This window comes from Homo sapiens, chromosome 7 (assembly GCF_000001405.40).
Source record: "Homo sapiens chromosome 7, GRCh38.p14 Primary Assembly".
Taxonomy (NCBI): domain Eukaryota; kingdom Metazoa; phylum Chordata; class Mammalia; order Primates; family Hominidae; genus Homo; species Homo sapiens.
Window position 1 is genome coordinate 131,058,659 of NC_000007.14, and position 15,978 is coordinate 131,074,636.

At 40.5% G+C, this 15,978-nt stretch overlaps 1 long non-coding RNA gene across 10 annotated transcripts in view, besides 23 other annotated features; it reads right to left on the reverse strand.

Annotated features, from left to right (window-relative positions):
* Window positions 1-15,978, reverse strand: part of LINC-PINT (long intergenic non-protein coding RNA, p53 induced transcript) — a 232,364-nt gene that overhangs the window by 181,097 nt on the left and 35,289 nt on the right. The window lies entirely within an intron of this gene.
* Window positions 231-375: an enhancer, noted in NCBI's record as "145 bp 7:130743720 sequence used in MPRA reporter constructs". NCBI's record gives its function as "activates a minimal TATA-containing promoter with rs4336553 allelic activity by MPRAs in C283T melanocytes {active_cell/tissue: C283T}" and the evidence as "EXISTENCE:reporter gene assay evidence [ECO:0000049][PMID:36423637]".
* Window position 303: a transcriptional cis regulatory region, noted in NCBI's record as "rs4336553 or 7:130743720 MPRA-significant variant associated with a GWAS melanoma risk locus at 7q32.3". NCBI's record gives its function as "allelic transcriptional activity by MPRAs in C283T melanocytes {active_cell/tissue: C283T}" and the evidence as "EXISTENCE:reporter gene assay evidence [ECO:0000049][PMID:36423637]".
* Window positions 379-523: an enhancer, noted in NCBI's record as "145 bp 7:130743868 sequence used in MPRA reporter constructs". NCBI's record gives its function as "activates a minimal TATA-containing promoter with rs4338041 allelic activity by MPRAs in C283T melanocytes {active_cell/tissue: C283T}" and the evidence as "EXISTENCE:reporter gene assay evidence [ECO:0000049][PMID:36423637]".
* Window position 451: a transcriptional cis regulatory region, noted in NCBI's record as "rs4338041 or 7:130743868 MPRA-significant variant associated with a GWAS melanoma risk locus at 7q32.3". NCBI's record gives its function as "allelic transcriptional activity by MPRAs in C283T melanocytes {active_cell/tissue: C283T}" and the evidence as "EXISTENCE:reporter gene assay evidence [ECO:0000049][PMID:36423637]".
* Window positions 537-681: an enhancer, noted in NCBI's record as "145 bp 7:130744026 sequence used in MPRA reporter constructs". NCBI's record gives its function as "activates a minimal TATA-containing promoter with rs4629785 allelic activity by MPRAs in C283T melanocytes {active_cell/tissue: C283T}" and the evidence as "EXISTENCE:reporter gene assay evidence [ECO:0000049][PMID:36423637]".
* Window positions 537-710: a biological region, named in NCBI's record as "melanoma risk locus-associated MPRA allelic enhancers 7:130744026 and 7:130744055".
* Window positions 566-710: an enhancer, noted in NCBI's record as "145 bp 7:130744055 sequence used in MPRA reporter constructs". NCBI's record gives its function as "activates a minimal TATA-containing promoter with rs4573211 allelic activity by MPRAs in C283T melanocytes and UACC903 melanoma cells {active_cell/tissue: C283T | UACC903}" and the evidence as "EXISTENCE:reporter gene assay evidence [ECO:0000049][PMID:36423637]".
* Window position 609: a transcriptional cis regulatory region, noted in NCBI's record as "rs4629785 or 7:130744026 MPRA-significant variant associated with a GWAS melanoma risk locus at 7q32.3". NCBI's record gives its function as "allelic transcriptional activity by MPRAs in C283T melanocytes {active_cell/tissue: C283T}" and the evidence as "EXISTENCE:reporter gene assay evidence [ECO:0000049][PMID:36423637]".
* Window position 638: a transcriptional cis regulatory region, noted in NCBI's record as "rs4573211 or 7:130744055 MPRA-significant variant associated with a GWAS melanoma risk locus at 7q32.3". NCBI's record gives its function as "allelic transcriptional activity by MPRAs in C283T melanocytes and UACC903 melanoma cells {active_cell/tissue: C283T | UACC903}" and the evidence as "EXISTENCE:reporter gene assay evidence [ECO:0000049][PMID:36423637]".
* Window positions 2,599-2,743: an enhancer, noted in NCBI's record as "145 bp 7:130746088 sequence used in MPRA reporter constructs". NCBI's record gives its function as "activates a minimal TATA-containing promoter with rs7787551 allelic activity by MPRAs in UACC903 melanoma cells {active_cell/tissue: UACC903}" and the evidence as "EXISTENCE:reporter gene assay evidence [ECO:0000049][PMID:36423637]".
* Window position 2,671: a transcriptional cis regulatory region, noted in NCBI's record as "rs7787551 or 7:130746088 MPRA-significant variant associated with a GWAS melanoma risk locus at 7q32.3". NCBI's record gives its function as "allelic transcriptional activity by MPRAs in UACC903 melanoma cells {active_cell/tissue: UACC903}" and the evidence as "EXISTENCE:reporter gene assay evidence [ECO:0000049][PMID:36423637]".
* Window positions 6,599-6,743: an enhancer, noted in NCBI's record as "145 bp 7:130750088 sequence used in MPRA reporter constructs". NCBI's record gives its function as "activates a minimal TATA-containing promoter with rs4731738 allelic activity by MPRAs in C283T melanocytes and UACC903 melanoma cells {active_cell/tissue: C283T | UACC903}" and the evidence as "EXISTENCE:reporter gene assay evidence [ECO:0000049][PMID:36423637]".
* Window position 6,671: a transcriptional cis regulatory region, noted in NCBI's record as "rs4731738 or 7:130750088 MPRA-significant variant associated with a GWAS melanoma risk locus at 7q32.3". NCBI's record gives its function as "allelic transcriptional activity by MPRAs in C283T melanocytes and UACC903 melanoma cells {active_cell/tissue: C283T | UACC903}" and the evidence as "EXISTENCE:reporter gene assay evidence [ECO:0000049][PMID:36423637]".
* Window positions 7,831-7,975: an enhancer, noted in NCBI's record as "145 bp 7:130751320 sequence used in MPRA reporter constructs". NCBI's record gives its function as "activates a minimal TATA-containing promoter with rs6943502 allelic activity by MPRAs in C283T melanocytes {active_cell/tissue: C283T}" and the evidence as "EXISTENCE:reporter gene assay evidence [ECO:0000049][PMID:36423637]".
* Window position 7,903: a transcriptional cis regulatory region, noted in NCBI's record as "rs6943502 or 7:130751320 MPRA-significant variant associated with a GWAS melanoma risk locus at 7q32.3". NCBI's record gives its function as "allelic transcriptional activity by MPRAs in C283T melanocytes {active_cell/tissue: C283T}" and the evidence as "EXISTENCE:reporter gene assay evidence [ECO:0000049][PMID:36423637]".
* Window positions 8,468-8,612: an enhancer, noted in NCBI's record as "145 bp 7:130751957 sequence used in MPRA reporter constructs". NCBI's record gives its function as "activates a minimal TATA-containing promoter with rs4510791 allelic activity by MPRAs in C283T melanocytes and UACC903 melanoma cells {active_cell/tissue: C283T | UACC903}" and the evidence as "EXISTENCE:reporter gene assay evidence [ECO:0000049][PMID:36423637]".
* Window position 8,540: a transcriptional cis regulatory region, noted in NCBI's record as "rs4510791 or 7:130751957 MPRA-significant variant associated with a GWAS melanoma risk locus at 7q32.3". NCBI's record gives its function as "allelic transcriptional activity by MPRAs in C283T melanocytes and UACC903 melanoma cells {active_cell/tissue: C283T | UACC903}" and the evidence as "EXISTENCE:reporter gene assay evidence [ECO:0000049][PMID:36423637]".
* Window positions 11,323-11,467: an enhancer, noted in NCBI's record as "145 bp 7:130754812 sequence used in MPRA reporter constructs". NCBI's record gives its function as "activates a minimal TATA-containing promoter with rs4731742 allelic activity by MPRAs in UACC903 melanoma cells {active_cell/tissue: UACC903}" and the evidence as "EXISTENCE:reporter gene assay evidence [ECO:0000049][PMID:36423637]".
* Window position 11,395: a transcriptional cis regulatory region, noted in NCBI's record as "rs4731742 or 7:130754812 MPRA-significant variant associated with a GWAS melanoma risk locus at 7q32.3". NCBI's record gives its function as "allelic transcriptional activity by MPRAs in UACC903 melanoma cells {active_cell/tissue: UACC903}" and the evidence as "EXISTENCE:reporter gene assay evidence [ECO:0000049][PMID:36423637]".
* Window positions 14,251-14,395: an enhancer, noted in NCBI's record as "145 bp 7:130757740 sequence used in MPRA reporter constructs". NCBI's record gives its function as "activates a minimal TATA-containing promoter with rs10954299 allelic activity by MPRAs in UACC903 melanoma cells {active_cell/tissue: UACC903}" and the evidence as "EXISTENCE:reporter gene assay evidence [ECO:0000049][PMID:36423637]".
* Window position 14,323: a transcriptional cis regulatory region, noted in NCBI's record as "rs10954299 or 7:130757740 MPRA-significant variant associated with a GWAS melanoma risk locus at 7q32.3". NCBI's record gives its function as "allelic transcriptional activity by MPRAs in UACC903 melanoma cells {active_cell/tissue: UACC903}" and the evidence as "EXISTENCE:reporter gene assay evidence [ECO:0000049][PMID:36423637]".
* Window positions 15,087-15,231: an enhancer, noted in NCBI's record as "145 bp 7:130758576 sequence used in MPRA reporter constructs". NCBI's record gives its function as "activates a minimal TATA-containing promoter with rs12669378 allelic activity by MPRAs in C283T melanocytes {active_cell/tissue: C283T}" and the evidence as "EXISTENCE:reporter gene assay evidence [ECO:0000049][PMID:36423637]".
* Window position 15,159: a transcriptional cis regulatory region, noted in NCBI's record as "rs12669378 or 7:130758576 MPRA-significant variant associated with a GWAS melanoma risk locus at 7q32.3". NCBI's record gives its function as "allelic transcriptional activity by MPRAs in C283T melanocytes {active_cell/tissue: C283T}" and the evidence as "EXISTENCE:reporter gene assay evidence [ECO:0000049][PMID:36423637]".

The window sequence follows — 15,978 nt, forward strand, 5'->3', positions numbered from 1 at the left end:
GGCCACACTTGCGGAGCCCTTCAGCCCACCGCTGCACTGTGGGAGCCCCTCTCTGGGTTGGCCAAGGCCGGAGCTGGCTCCCTCTGCTTGCGGGGAGGTGTGGAGGGAGAGTCACGGGCAGGAACCAGGGCTGTGCGTGGTGCCCGTGGGCCAGCACGAGTTCCGGGTGGGCGTGGGCTCGGTGGGCCCCGCACTCGGAGCAGCTGTCTGGCGCCGCCAGCCCCAGGCAGTGAGGGGCTTAGCACCCAGGCCAGCAGCTGTGGAGGGTGTGCCGGGTCCCCCAGCAGTGCTGGCCTGCCAGCACTGCGTTCAAATTCTCACCGGGCCTCAGCTGCCTCCCCGCGGGGCAGGGCTCAGGACCTGCAGCCCACCATGCCCGAGCCTCCCCACCACCGTGGGCTCCTGCACGGCCCAAGCCTCCCCAATGAGCGCTGCCCCCTGCTCCGCGGCACCCGGTCCCATCGACCACCCAAGGGCTGAGAAGTGCGGGCGCACAGCACGGGACTAGAGGGCAGCTCCGCCTGCATCCCCAGTGTGGGATCCACTAAGTGAAGCCAGCTGGGCTCCTGAGTCTAGTGGGGACTTGGAGAACCTTTATGTCTAGCTAACGGATTGTAAATACACCAATCAGCACTCGGTATCTAGCTAATCTAGTGGGGACTTGGAGAACCTTTATGTCTAGCTAAAGGATTATAAATACACCAATCAGCACGCTGTGTCTAGCTCAAGGTTTGTAAATGCACCCATCAGTGCTCTGTGTCTAGCTAATCTAGTGGGGACTTGGAGAACCTTTACGTCTAGCCAGGGGATTGTAAATACACCAATCAGCACTCTGTGTCTAGCTCAAAGTTTGTAAATGCACCAATCAGCACCCTGTGTCTAGCTCAAGGTTTGTAAATGCACCAATCAGTGCTCTGTGTCTAGCTAATCTAACGGGGACTCGGAGAACTTTTGTGTCTAGTTCAGGGATTGTAAATGCACCAATCAGCACCCTGTCACAACAGACCAATCAGCTTTCTGTAAAACAGACCAATCAGCTCTCCGTAAAATGGACCAATCAGCAGGATGTGGGTGGGACCAGATAAGGGAATAAAAGCAGGCTGCCCAAGCCAGCAGTGGCAATCTGCTCCAGTCCCCTTCCACGCTGGAAGCTTTGTTCTTTCACTCTTTGCAATAAATCTTGCTGCTGCTCACTCTTTGGGTTTGCACTGCCTTTAAGAGCTCTAACACTCACTGCAAAGCTGTAACACTGCAGCTTCACTCCTGAGGCTGGCGAGACCACGAACCCACCAGGAGAAATGAACTCCAGACGGGAAGAATAAACAACTCCAGATGCACCACCTTAAGAGCTGTAACACGCACCGCCAAGGTTTGCAGATTCATTCCTGAAGCCAGCAAGACCACGAACCCACCAGAAGGAAGAAACTCTGAACACGTCCGAACATCAGAAGGAACAAACTCTGGATACACCATCTTTAAGAACTGTAACACTCACCACGAGGGTCCATGACTTCATTCTTGAAGTCAGTGAGACCAAGAACCCACCAATTCTGGACACAATTTCATTTGGTGAGCAGTCCAGATTACATGTGTGTACACTGTAATGATCAGCTAAGGACTGACTGCTTTTAGCTCCTTCACCCGTTCTCACCTCTGAGGTTCAGTAATAAATGGCTCCTACCAACTAACTGAAGTATCAATCAAAATCTTAAAGGTATTCATTCATTATACGGTATTTACACCCCCCTTAAAATGCAAAATTTATAGTTTTATTAATACAAACATCCAGACAAGAAAATAAGCAGACTAGCAAGATAAAACCAGAGCCTTCAAAAATTACACAAAGCATACAAATATGTAGGCCAAATGGTTAAAGTGAGCCATAAACTTGGCCCTACACTCTAGTGACAAAGCAAAAAGGGAAAAATGATCAGTTACAAACTGGACATGATCAGAGGGTAAATTTCAGGGAAAATAAATTTCTCCTGGTACTCAAATCTAAGAAATATTTCTCTAGTGGATCATTCTATACATGATACACTGGGGTCTTCAATAATGTCCCTGAAAGATATGCTGATTCTTATTGCATATAGCATATATAGTAAAAACATAATGCTCTCTGATAAGGTGGATAAATTTTAAAAATAAAGCCTAGAAAGTCTGTTCAACAGAACTTTCTGTAATGATGAAGATGCTCCATATCTACACTGTCAAAGATAGTAGCCATTAGCCACATATGGCTAGTAAGCACTTGAATTATGGCTGGTATGACTAAGAAACTGAATTTTAATTGTATTTCACTTTAATAGCCATATTACAGCAGCAAATATCTACCCACTGGACAGTACAGGTCTAAAACATTAGTTATCAAACTTTTTTTTTTAGCAGTGGAACCATTTTGGGGTTGGCAAACATATATAGAATCTAACACATTAAAAAAGATAGTATAGTATATATACTTGTAAGTTCAATCTAAAATATTTATAGTCAATGAAAATATGAGTATTCCAATAAATATTAGAAATCGAGGATTTTAAGTGAGAGTTATGAAGTTAGATCAACCCCAGGAACCACTTTTATTTCTGTATTTTGTTTGGATGCACTGCAGTGCCCACGTGGGACTTCTAATTACACATTCTGAGCTACTCAGTTACCAAGGCCACAATCAGCAGCCATTTATCTACTCAGGAAGCATAGAAGAAAACACAGCATGCCAACAGGGCGGTTTCAGGTGTTTCTCTTCATGGAAGGAGCCCCCACATGAGCCCACACGGCCATCCAGGAGCTATTCTCTCTGGCATCCAGCTGACAGCTCAGGGGCAAGGAAATGAAAATCACAAGGGTGGGCCCAGGTACCATGCTGGTTTGGTGCCACTCTGGGAGGCCGAGGTGAGTAGATCACTTGAGGTCAGGAGTTTGAGATCAGCTTAGCCAACATGGTACAACCCTGTCTCTACTAAAAATACAAAAATTAGCCAGGTGTGGGGTGGCGGGCATCTGTAATCCCAGCTACTCGGGAGGCCGAGGGAAGAGAATCGCTTGAACCCGCGAGGTGGGGGTTGCAGTGAGCCAACATTGCACCATCGCACTCCAGCCTGGGCAACAGAGCAAGACTCTGTCTCAAATAAAACAAAATAATATAAAATAAAATCACAAGGGTGGTGCACAGACATGCTGGCTTAGAAACTTTGTGCCCCAAGCAGAAACCAAATATCATATAACGGTGCTAGTCACGGCGTCCAAGGTTCCCACAAAGGACATACCCATTTCTGAAAAGTCAGTACTTCTGGGGAAGCTACAGCTTCTAATCAGGAATTTAGAGTTCACTTACAGTTCCTCCCAGTCCAGATATGTTTACCAAACAGAGGTCACTTTCACCACAACAATGTTGCCTGGTAACATGGTGAACATTTCCCTTTTACCAGGGGTTCAGGAGAACTGAGTAGAGAGTTAATCTAAGGTCAGATTTGTCCTTAAAAAAATGAAAAATGGTTTGTTAACTCTTTTTTTTTTTGAGACAGAGTCTTGCTCTGTCCCCCAGGCTGGAGTGCAGTGGCGCGATCTTGGCTCACTGCAAGGCTCCGCCTCCCGGGTTCACGCCATTCTCCTGCCTCAGCCTCCCGAGTAGCTGGGACTACAGGCACCTGCCACCACGCCCGGCTAAGTTTTTGTATTTTTAGTAGAGATGAGGTTTCACTGTGTTAGCCAGAATGGTCTTGATCTCTGACCTCGTGATCCACCCGTCTCGGCCTCCGAAAGTGCTGGGATTACAGGCATGAGCCACCGCGCCCGGTCACTTTCGTTAATTCTTTAGCAACCTTCATGATTAAAAAAAAAAAAAAAAAAGAATCCCACATATCAGGAATAGAAAAGAACTTGCTTAACTTAAAAACAAAAACAAAACCCTACAACAAAATCACACTTAATGGTTAAATAATGGGAGTATTTCCTTCAAAAGCTACGAAATGCAAGAAGGATGACTACAATCATCACTTTTACTTAATAACATAATAGAGGACTTAGTCAACATTAATAAAAAAGACAAAGGAAATATAAAAATTTAAATGATGTAACAAAACTGTCTTCATCTCCAAGTAATCATTATCTATATAGAGAATTATGAAGGAAAACCATTAAAACTAATAAAAAATAAGTTCATCAGTATTGTTAAAAGATCAAGATACAAAATTAATATAATTCCTATAAGCCAAAACATCACATTGTAATTTCAATAAGAAAAGCTACCTATCATTTAAAGCAGCAACTAAAGCTATAAGCTTTCTAATAATTAGTCTAACAAAAAAATCTTCAAGAGCTTTATAGAGAACATTATAAAGCCAAGTAAGTTGAGAAATACATTATATTTGTGGATGGAAGACTTAATAAATATCCCTAAACTGAACTGAAATACAACATGATTACAATCAAAATCCCTACAGGGTCTTTCATGGACCATGGTAAGCTGATCCTAAAATTCATAAGAAAAAAGGGCCAAGAACAGTCTTGACAAATTTGAAGAAAACAGGCAGCCACTCTCTAAAACTTTAAGTTATATGAAACAATGATAAGCAAAACAGTAAAGATAAATGAAAAACAATAGAGCACCCAGAAAAAGACTCACGTATGTTCAGAAATTTGATATATGATGGCAGTAGCACTGCAAATCAGCGGGGAAAGGACAGACTATTGAACAACAGTTATCCTGAGACATAAGTTAACTATAAGAAAATAAAATCATTATCTCACATCATAGAGACACATTTTCAAGCTATAGGCTTAAATGTAAAAATAAAATTTTGACAATTTTTAGGAAAAAAATGCTCTTTAGGTAATGATTTTTAAAATAACATACAAAAGTAGAAATTATAAAGTAAAAGACTGATAAATGTGTTACTATGTTGAAGTTTTTAAAAATTCTAACAAAAGGTTCTTCAAACAAAATGAAAAACCAAACCACAGACTACAAGATATTAACAAAATACATAACAAAAAGGTATTAATTTTCAGGATACATTAAGTCCTAAAAGTCAGTAAATAAATACAAACAACTCTATTGAAAAAAATGAGGCAAAAAATTGTGAATAGCTAGTTAACAAAAAAGGAAATCACGGTGAAAATAAACATAAGATGTTCAAGTTCAGTACGATGCAGTTTAACACTACGATGAAACAGCATTTCGCGTCAGACTGGCAAAGTATCACACTAATGAAAGAAAGTTACACTGAGTCAACCACTCTGGAGAGGAATTTGGTAATATCTAATAAAGATGAGATACGCATACCTATAGCCAAGTAATTCCACTCCTGAAAATGTACACTAGAGAAATTGGCACACGAACATAAGGAGGTACATATCAGAATACAGGTAACTGCAAAAAATTGGAAACAATTCAAATGTGAATCAGGAGAATATGCATACAATATAGTCTCATAATGAAATATCTTATATATGAGTATTACGTATATTTATGAAAGAAATAAGGACAGCTACAAGTATCAAAGAAGAATAAAGAATCAATAGAGTAAAAAGGCATCCTATGGAATGGGAGAAAATATCTGCAAACCATGTTATCTGATAAGGGGCTAATATCCAAAATATATAAGGAACTGCTACAACAGTGGCAAAAAAACCCCAAATAACCCACTGAAAAAATAGACCAAAGACTCGAATAGGTATTTCTCCAAAAAAAAAAAAAAAAAAAAAAAAAGATATACAAATGGCCAAGGCGTACATGTCATCAAATGCCAATGAAAACCACAGTAAGATGTCACCTCTTATATGTTAGGATGGGCATTATAAAAAACAAAAACAAAAAACCCAGAAAATAACAAGTCTTGGTGAGGATCTGAAGCAACTGGAATCCTTGCGCATTGTTGGTGGGACTGTAAAATGGTGCAGCTTCTATGGAAAACAGTATGGAGATTCCTTAAAAAATTACAAATAGAACTACAATATAAACCAGAAATCCCTCTTCTGGATATTCATCAAAAAAAACTGAAATCAGAATCTTGTAGAAATGCTTGCACCACCCCCTTGTTCACTGCAGCATTAATCACAATAACCAAAAGGTAGTAACAACCTAAAATCCATCTTAAATGAAAAAACAAAGCAAATATGGTGTATACATACAGTGGAATATTAGCCTTAAAACAGAAATCTCGTCGTAAGTTACAACATGGATGAACCTTGTTGCTAAGTGATGGATATTACGCTAAGTGAAGAAGGACAAATACTGCATGAAACCACATAGATGAAGTGTCTAAAGTAGTCAAACTTACAGAAACACAAAGTAGAATCTGTTGCCAGACTGGAGGGAGGGAAAAATGGGCAGTTGCTATTCAATGGGAACAGAGTCTCTGCCATGCAAAATGAAAAGTTCCAGAGATCTTCTGTACCACATTATGCTTATAGTTAATACTGTAGCATACACAATAATTTGTTAAGAGGGTAACTCTCATGTTATGTGTTTCTTTTTTCACAATAAAAAAAAAATGTTAGGTGAAAAGACTAGCTGCAGAGGCCTACGATGAAACATGGTTTATATAAAGTTTCAAATCATAAAAAATAATGTCTTACATACATAACGATGAGGGCCACGTGCCGTGGCTCACGCTTATAATCCCAGCACTTTGGAGGCTGAGGCGGGAGGATCACTTGAGATTAGGAGTTCGAGACCAGCCACATGGCGAAACCCTGTCTCTACTAAAAATACAAAAATTAGCTGGATGTGGTGGCGCATGCCTGTAATCCCAACTACTCGGGAGGCTGAGGCAGGAGAATCGCTTGCACCTGGGAGATGGAGACTGCAGCGAGCCGAGATCATGCCACTGCACTCCAGCCCGGGTGACAGAGTAAGACCCTGTCTCAATAAAATAAAATAAAATAAAATAAAATATATATAAAATGATGCAAATGTAAACAAAGGTAGTAAAAGTATAAAATATGTTTGGAAATGTTAAACACTAAACTCAGGATAGTGGTTTCTACTGTAGAGGAAAAGAGCAGAATAGAATCAAAAAGAGCTAAATAAGAGGTCTCTATTTCGTCTCTATTTTTTTTTAAATCTAAAGCAAATATTACAAAACTGATGGTATTTGATAGCTTAGTCTATTTTTCTATATGTCTAGAATATTTTATTAAAGAAATAAATTTTTTAGAACTTAATACCAAGAATATTTTTTTCCTCCTAAGAAATGAGTATGTTTCACCTTCTCTAATAACAAGTTTCCATGATGTGCCAGGGACAGACATTATAGCAAAATTGAGAGACAGTGTCTGTGTGTGTGTGTGTGTGTGTGTGTGTGTGTGTGTGAACTCTTTTCAGAAGAGGTCTCATAGATTACAACACAGGGATGTGGCTTAAATAAAAATGTTAAAAATTATTAACATAATTGATGCTATTTGTCATTTTGCACTAGGCATCAATAAAAACATGAAGCAAATCTGAATTAAAATCAACACATGTGCAACCTTTTTTCTCAGTTCTGATTTTCTGTTTATATGCTATTTCATTTTATGTATTTGTGTGGTAAAGTTGCCTCAAACCCTCTGTGAAAAAAAAGGCAAGCTATTAATTAAAAAAAAGAAACATCCTTTAATAAATATTCTACCAAATCCGTACAAGGAAACACAAAACAGAAGACTCAGGTGGAATGAATGTGAACATTGAGATAGCAGCCTTGGGACCAGGTGTCAACACAAATGGTTCCATTCCTAACTTTCATAAGAAAGGCTCAAACATAGTGTGGGCTATATCCAAGTTCTCATCCTTTTGGCCACAAAAACAAACCTAAAAACCCTAAGGAATATGACAGTAATAGGAGATGTCGGAACTGGCAGGTGAGAAGTATCCTGTTGATTTAAAATGCCCCCCAGATGATTCTCATATGCTTCTCCCCACCCCCCACAAAAGCCCACAATCCCTGACCCAGTTGACACCACTAAATTAGATTTAAATTAGATTTATTCTTTAAATTTGTTAAATATTCAACAAATAGTTTATTGAGCACCTACTCTGTCAGTGTGAGGAAGTGAGTGTCTTTATACTTCTGCACAATTAGAACTGGGAAAATTTTACTAGGACTTGTGTTAAAGGACAACCTTAAAACTTAAAAGATGACTGAACAGATAGTGAGGGACTTACCTCCCCTGAGCTATGTGTTTACATTTCAGAAGGATGATGAAACCAGGACTGTGGAAATCTTCCAGGGGTTATAAACTCAAGTCTGTTGTCCTAGGTTATTGCTATAATAATCATAATTTGTCCCTGCCCCAGAAACTCTGCATCTACTTTCAGGATAACATGAATAAATATAGGTGTTCAAAACTTATCAGTCCCCAGGTACTATGCTGGTTTGTAGGCACATCTCATAACAGTGATCAAGGTGAAGTTCCTGCTCTCATATAGAGTTTACAGTCAATTGTGGTCCTGAGAAGCAAATAATCTATTACTACGTGGTGTGGTAAACGCATGGCAGGAGATGTTGTCAGAGATCAGGGAAATCTAAACTGAGAGCTGATGGTGAAGAGTTAGCCAGACGCCTTTGTCTGAAAATAAGAGAAAATCCCAAGCCGACAAAGCCTCACTATCTTCACATAACAAGAAATCCCAACAAAGGATGGCTCAGCAATGCAGTAAGGCCCCCGCCCCAGCTGTCTTTCTGCCCCGCTCCATGTGGCGATGATGCTTGGGCTAGCTCCCTTCATGGCTGCAAGACAGCTGGAGCTTGGCCCACAGTGGGCAGAACTTCTCATCCAACTCTTTTTCACCAGGATGGCAAACCTTTCTGGAAGCCTCCACCAGGCTTCTCTTTATGTCTCAAGGGACAGAACTGGGTCACATGTTCATGCTCAAACCTATCAACTGGCAAGAACAGAACCTTCCTGACAGCCGTGGGCTGTGACTGGGGCCTGAGCCTAGCTTCCCCAGAGCATATGGGTATACAGAGAAGAGTGGATTCTTAAGCAAAGTGGAGGTTCTGCTAGAAAAGAAGAGGGCACTGGAAGGTTACAGGGAAAGCGACCCATGGGATGTGCTGTAGTCATTAAAGTAATATTTCCTTTGTTTAGAAGGAATTTACGCTATTTGGCATTAACAGGAAATGTAAAGAAATAAAAGACCACCTTGTACTTAAGCAACAGCACACACATAGAATTTTAATAGAGAAAAACTAGAAATAAATGAAATTAATATGGTGTAAATTAAATAACACAAAGCTGAAAGATCATAGAGTAATAGAGGTAGATCAGGTTTTTAATAACCAGAGGCAGTTCTGAAAGAAGAGAATTATAAAATGACAGACGCTGCTTTATGTTTAAAGGCACAAAGGTAAAAATTTAGGGGAGACAAGGTAAGTTTACTCAGCCGTAACAGAGACTGCAGAACACTGAGAAAATGCACATGCAAATATAAAGCTCTTGGGGGCATACCCGAGTGTCTGTCTTGAGAGCCAAGGTTTAGCCCAGGTAAAGGCACCCGATATGTATGTCTAGAATGAATGAGTGAATGAATGAATGGAGAGGCTTGGACTTGAAATACTATTTGACAGGAGACTACTAAAGGTTGCTTATCATAGGACACGTGTGACGAAACCATTTCTGATGAAAACTCTTGCTTTCAATACATAGAATGAAGTGGAGGAGTACAAGATATAAAGCGTCATTAGAAGGCTATGAAAGTCATCTGGACATAAAGTAATCAGGGCCTGGACTGGGGACTCAAGAACTAAAAATCAGAAGTGCAATGGAAAAAAGTGGTGGTTATACATCAGTATACCTACTCTGCTTGTTTTATTTACTAAGAATGTCACAAGCATATAAGAAAGTGGTGTTGCACATTTTAGATTCATTTGTTACTGCATTATGAAAAACAGGATGGCATTTTTAATCTAGTTTATCTGATCCTGAATTTTAAGAAGGGTTTACAGCATTTCAACTAGACTACTTACCCTTGGTTTCTTTTCCAATTCCAATAGGAAATCTGCAGGACTCAATCTGATTCCACCAGAATCATGATCTCTGTGGCCTCCTACTGCTAGCTATCTAGAATGGCAGCTTTTGTGTATTTAATACTTAAAACAGTTCTGTAGCAAATTGTTCTATTAATGAAAATAGTAGAGACTCCTTCTGCCCTCTAGTTTTTCTCCCATGTATGTAATAATGACGACCCCAAAAGTAACATCTTAGACATGATTCACAACCAGACCAAATCTATGATTGAGGTAAACAAAATATATACAAAGCTAAGAGTCATTAATTAGATCATTCATGTCTCCAACATCATTTCCTGTAACAATCAATGAGAAGCAATTCACAGATTCCTTCTCAGCTGGGTGCAGTGGCTCATGCCTATAATCGCAGCACTTTGGGAGGCTGAAGTGAGAGGATCGCTTGGGGCTAGGAGTTCGAGACCAGCGTGGGGAACATAGCAAGACCCTCCTCCCAACCCCCCCCCCCACCCATCTCCATTATTTTTAAAAAGGTATTTTTAAAAAAAGAAAGAAAGAAAAACAATTCTTTCTGTTTTAACTATTGTTTGCACATATCTTATATACCATGTGGTCTTCATTTCACCCCTGGCACCTTTACTTACCTACTCTGCTTCTTCATGACTGGTCACGGTAAAAGCTAATTAGTGCTTCTGCCTGTCAGAAGACTCATTCTTGACAGTTCTTGCTGACAAGCAGTCTTAGTCACAAACAAATAGGGCTTCACGTTCAGCCAGACTCTAAGTCTCACCGTCCCTCTGGGAGGCAGCAGAGAGTTCCAGCTAACTCGAGAAAAGACAACACAGCCAGAGAGGATGGCTGCCTGCAGGCTGACAACGCTGTTTCAGAGCACCCTAACACTTTCGACACAAGTAGATTACACCGGGGGAAGAGTTTAGGGATGAACACGGGAAAAGTACATAAAATCTAAGCAAACAAACAAAGCCCTCCTCCAAAAAAAAAAAAAAAAAAAAAAAGAAAAGAAAAGAATTATTAACACCAGGGAAAACAAAAAGTTGTGCTGGAAAGAAAAGGCAACCATAGATTATATAACTCAGCTGGGAATAATGTTTTCAAAGTCCTAACAATGTAAATGCTGAATTATTCAAAATGTAATTATAATGAAAAGAAAAGGGCTATGCACATGGGGTGGGGGTGCATAAGATAAATTCTCCTGGCCGGGGCGGTGCCTCACGCCTGTAATCCCAGCACTTTGGGAGGCCGAGGCGGGCAGATCACGAGGTCAGGGGATCGAGACCGTCCTGGCTAACACGGTGAAACCCCGTCTCTACTAAAAATACAAAAAAAATTAGCCGGCGCGGTGGCGGGCACCTGTAATCTCAGCTACTCGGGAGGCTGACGTAGGAGAATGGCATGAACCTGGAAGGCGGAGCTTGCAGTGAGCCGAGATGGCGCCACTGCACTCCAGCCTGGGGTACAGAGCAAGACTCCATCTCAAAAAAAAAAAAAAAAAAAAAAAAGATAAATTCTCCTTTATCATGAGAGGTCAAAGGTAATGCCTAACACTGAAAAAGTAAGAAGAGGATAGAGCAATGCCTGTTTAGAGAGCTGGAGGTAAACAAGCAGAACAATCCGCTCTAAGAGTTGAGCTCAGAGAGCAAGGGATGGGGCAGGAGTGACAGCGGGGAGACTGCTGGTCTTTGTAACAAGCCTTGTACCTAACAAGCTCTTGGAATATGCGGGTTGTGTGCATGTACAACTTTAGAGTTAAATTAACACTAGTTTAAAAGTGGCCAAGTAGAGACTAGAACCCAGAGTTGCTTAGTTTAGTGCTTGTGCCACTGTATAATACCCTTTATAAAAAATTACATATATTTTCCACTCTTGAATATAGAGAAAACAATGATATTTTATCAAAACAATGTAATGTACTATTGTTCTTGTCAAGGGTATTGTGTTTTCATTTCATGGACAAAGAAAAAAATCAAATATTCAGCAGTTGAATTGCAGACATACCAGTCTATAATAGGGGCAGGGAAAAACACAATATTCTTGAGTAAGACCTTCTCTGTTAAGGGGCACTCTTTTATTACAGAAACACATAAACACACACAATAAAATACAATGAGGTATCTCAGCACTTTGGGAGGCCAAGGTGGGCGAATCACTTGAGGTCAGGAGTTTGAGACTAGCCTGGCCAACATGGTGAAACCCTGTCTATAATAAAAATAAAAAAATCAGCCGGGCACAGTAGCGGGCACCTGTGTTCCCAGCTACTCGGGAGGCTGAGGCATGAGAATCGCTTGAACCCAGGAGGCGAAGGTTGCAGTGAGCCGAGATCACGCCATTGCACTCCAGCCTGGGTGACAGAGTGAGACTACATCTCTATACAAAAAAAAACCAAAAAACAACAACAACAAAAAACAATGAAGTAAGCACCATAACACTTCCTTGCCCTGCCTTGGTTTCCGCATTTTTTTTTTTTTTTTTTTGGTTTTTTTGAGACGGAGTCTTGCTCTGTCGCCCAGGCTGCAGTGCAGTGGCGCGATCTCGGCTCACTGCAAGCTCCGCCTCCCGGGTTCACGCCATTCTCCTGCCTCAGCCTCCCAAGTAGCTGGGACTACAGGCGCCCGCCACCACACCCGGCTAATTTTTTTTTTTTTTTTTTTGTATTTTTAGTAGAGACGGGGTTTCACTGTGTTAGCCAGGATGGTCTGGATCTCCAGACCTCGTGATTCCCCCGCCTCGGCCTCCCAAAGTGCTGGGATTACAGGCGTGAGCCACCGTGCCTGGCCGGTTTCCTCATTTGTAAAATACCTATAGAGTTTTGTGAATATGTAATGAGGCAGTACCTATATAGTGCTTGGTGCACTTCCAAGCAGGTAGTAATTACCTGCTAAGTCATAAGAAAAATAAGTCCAAATAGACAAACTCATGTCTGTTTGATTTTAAAGCCATGCTCATTCCTTTACATCACATTTCTAAAATAATCCTATTACCACCTTATTAGACAAAACACTGATTTTGATTTTACTCCTGGGTCCACGTGGCATTAAATAAGACACATTGTGATACATATGTATAAAACCTGAGGGTTAGAAAATATTTTCCAGCTCTCTATTTACAAATATTTTATTTATTTAGAAATAGTCGCTTAAAATATGTCTTAAGAATTTGCACAATTAGAAGTGAAGTTCCTGACTTATCAGGACATAAAACTTGTAGTCAACTATTTTCAATAACCAGCAAGTAAATGATTTGTCACTAGATGGCACTGTATTGGATAATATTTTTAAAAACCTTTTTTAGCACAATGAGATCCAACTTGATTTGTCAAATTAAAAGAATATTTTCTTAGTCACAGGATGAGATAGGAGGTCGGCACAGGATACAGGTCACAAAGACCCTGCTGATAACACAGGATGCCATAAAGAAGCCGGCCAAAACTCACCAAAACCAAGATGGCAATGAAAGAGACCTCTGGTCGTCCCCGCTGCTCATTATACACTAATTATAATATATTAGCATGCTAAAAGGCGCTCCTGCCAGCGCCATGACAGTTTACAAATCCCAAGGCAATGTCCGGAAGTTACCCTATATGGTCTAAAAAGGGGAGGAACTCTCAGTTCCGGGAAATCTCCACCCCTTTCCTGGAAAACTCATGAATAATCCACCCCTTGTTTAGCATATAATCCAGAAATAACTGCAAGGATACTCAGTCAAGCAGACCAGGCCGCTGCTCTGCCTATGGAGTAGCCGTTCTTTATTCCTTTTCTTTTTTTGAAACTTGCTTTCACTTTAAAAAAGGAATATTTTCTTTCCAAAGGAGAGGGTAAGATTAAATTACTTCTGTTTTTTAAGTTATTTCATGGCTTTAAAAATTGTTAGGGTTTAATGGAAAAGAAAATAATGATATAATCAAGTTAAATGTCATTTTTAAACAAATCTGATACCTGAATAGTAAATAACTATTCTGATATCTTTTAAGCAGAAATAATTACAAATATCTCTCCTGTTTCCAGTATAACAAATAAGTACAAACACATACTTAACTGCACAACTGCAGTTTGTACTGTTAGCATTTGGTTAAGGGGAACTACATTTCCCAGAATCCTTTTCTATACATGATTCTAGGCTACAGCTAGAGGAATTCAAGAGGTATTCACTTGAGATTGGGAAGGAGGAGCTGCAGCAGCAGGCACTGCTCTCTCAAGTCATTATCCTCTTCGTGGTTAGAGGTGACAGACACAAATGCTGGCAGGGCCCAGCGTGTCCTAACACACCTCTACTCTGCTGTCCAGGTCTCCCTCACAAATATTGAGCCTATTGGTCAACAAGGGCTCCGGGCCCACCACCAGATGCGTGGCAGGAGACAAGGAAGTGACATTCAAGAAATAGTTCCTTATTAACCAAGGTATGTTTAGCAAGCTATAATAATGCAGTACATGAGTGAGGCACCTCCTCACACGGTAGCTTCAGTGTGTTAATAACGTCCTATTAATTGTACAGAATTATATAACCTTTTGTATGGGTCAAATATTACATAACATTTTTTTTTAAAGAACAAACCACATCCCAGGCCAGTCAGTAATCTATTTAAATATTTAGAGATAAGTAAGTTGAGACCACAATGTCTGAGCAAAAGAGTCAGCTAAGGAAATCCAACTTCACCACTCCTTTATTATTTACCAAATTATTATCTGGTTGTTTCTTTCATTTTGCCTGAAAACTTTCTAATATTACAGACTCCGATCCTTAACAGCCAGCCAAACTCCTAAGTCTGTGAGCCAACCACCAATATGGCTTAGTCTTTAATTTACTTTCAGTGCTAATAAACTAGATCTAGTGCTGGAACCCATAATGGGTGCAAAAACAGACTCAATAATTGTGTACTAAAATAATTAATGATTAAGTCATCTTCATATCAGATGAGTCTGATTCAACTCCCCTAATGGCAGAGTTACCACAAAGTAATACAAACAGGCCAGGCGTCCCAGCACTTTGGGAGGCTGAGGCGGGCGGATCACTTGAGGTCAACAATTCGAGACCATCCTAGCCAATGTGGTGAAACCCCATCTCCAAAAATTAGCCGGGCACGGTGGCAGTGTGTGTAATCCCAGCTACTAGGGGGACTGAGGCAGGAGAATCGCTTGAACCCGGGAAGTGGAGGTTGCAACGAGCCAAGATCACACCACTGCACTCCAGCCTGTGCGACAGAGCGAGACTCAGTCTCAAAAACAAAAACAAAAAACAAAGTAATACAAACAAAACATCAAAGCAAACAGAAAAATACAGTCCACTTTTGTGGATAAAAAAATAAGGTTCTGTGTCTGCCATGTTGTTTCTTGTTTGCCTCTGGCAAGTCATCCAGTGACATACAGTCTGAGTGATTGCTTCCAATATAGGTAACTCCCCAAGCCATACCTCTAACACTGGACATCAGCAAAGCCAGAACCCCCTGGGTCCATAAAGCACCTCTGTTCATTTGTGTGTGTTGTCAGTGTTCAGAGAGGGCTCACTATGCTCTGGGGAGTCTTCTAAACCCTTTACAACCATTATCTCATAGGCCTCCAGCCATCCTTATGACATAGGTACTATTATACATATCCTGGTGTTGACATGCACTAGATATATAGCCTTGGAAGGTTTAGTAGAGATTGAGTAGCTTTTTCCAAGGCTATACATCTGGTACATTGCAACACCAGGGTCTGAACCAGCTTGGGTCTGACTGCAGAACCCCAGTTCTCAACCATTAAATGATGGTCCATCGCCTCCACCCCCATTACATGAGAAAAGAATAAACTCTGCCTGATTTATCTTTATATCCTCCAAAAGTATGTAATGAACTTGTATTTAGTATGTGTCAACAGTTATCTGTTGACTAAATATATTCTGAGTGAGAAAGTTAGCTGAGGTACTACTGCCTTTTATCAAAGAATAATTCCTGCTCCAATTTAAACTAGAGAAGACAAGGCTTCAGAAAACCTAACAGCAATGCAGACAATGAAGACAAAAACCAGGGATAAATTGT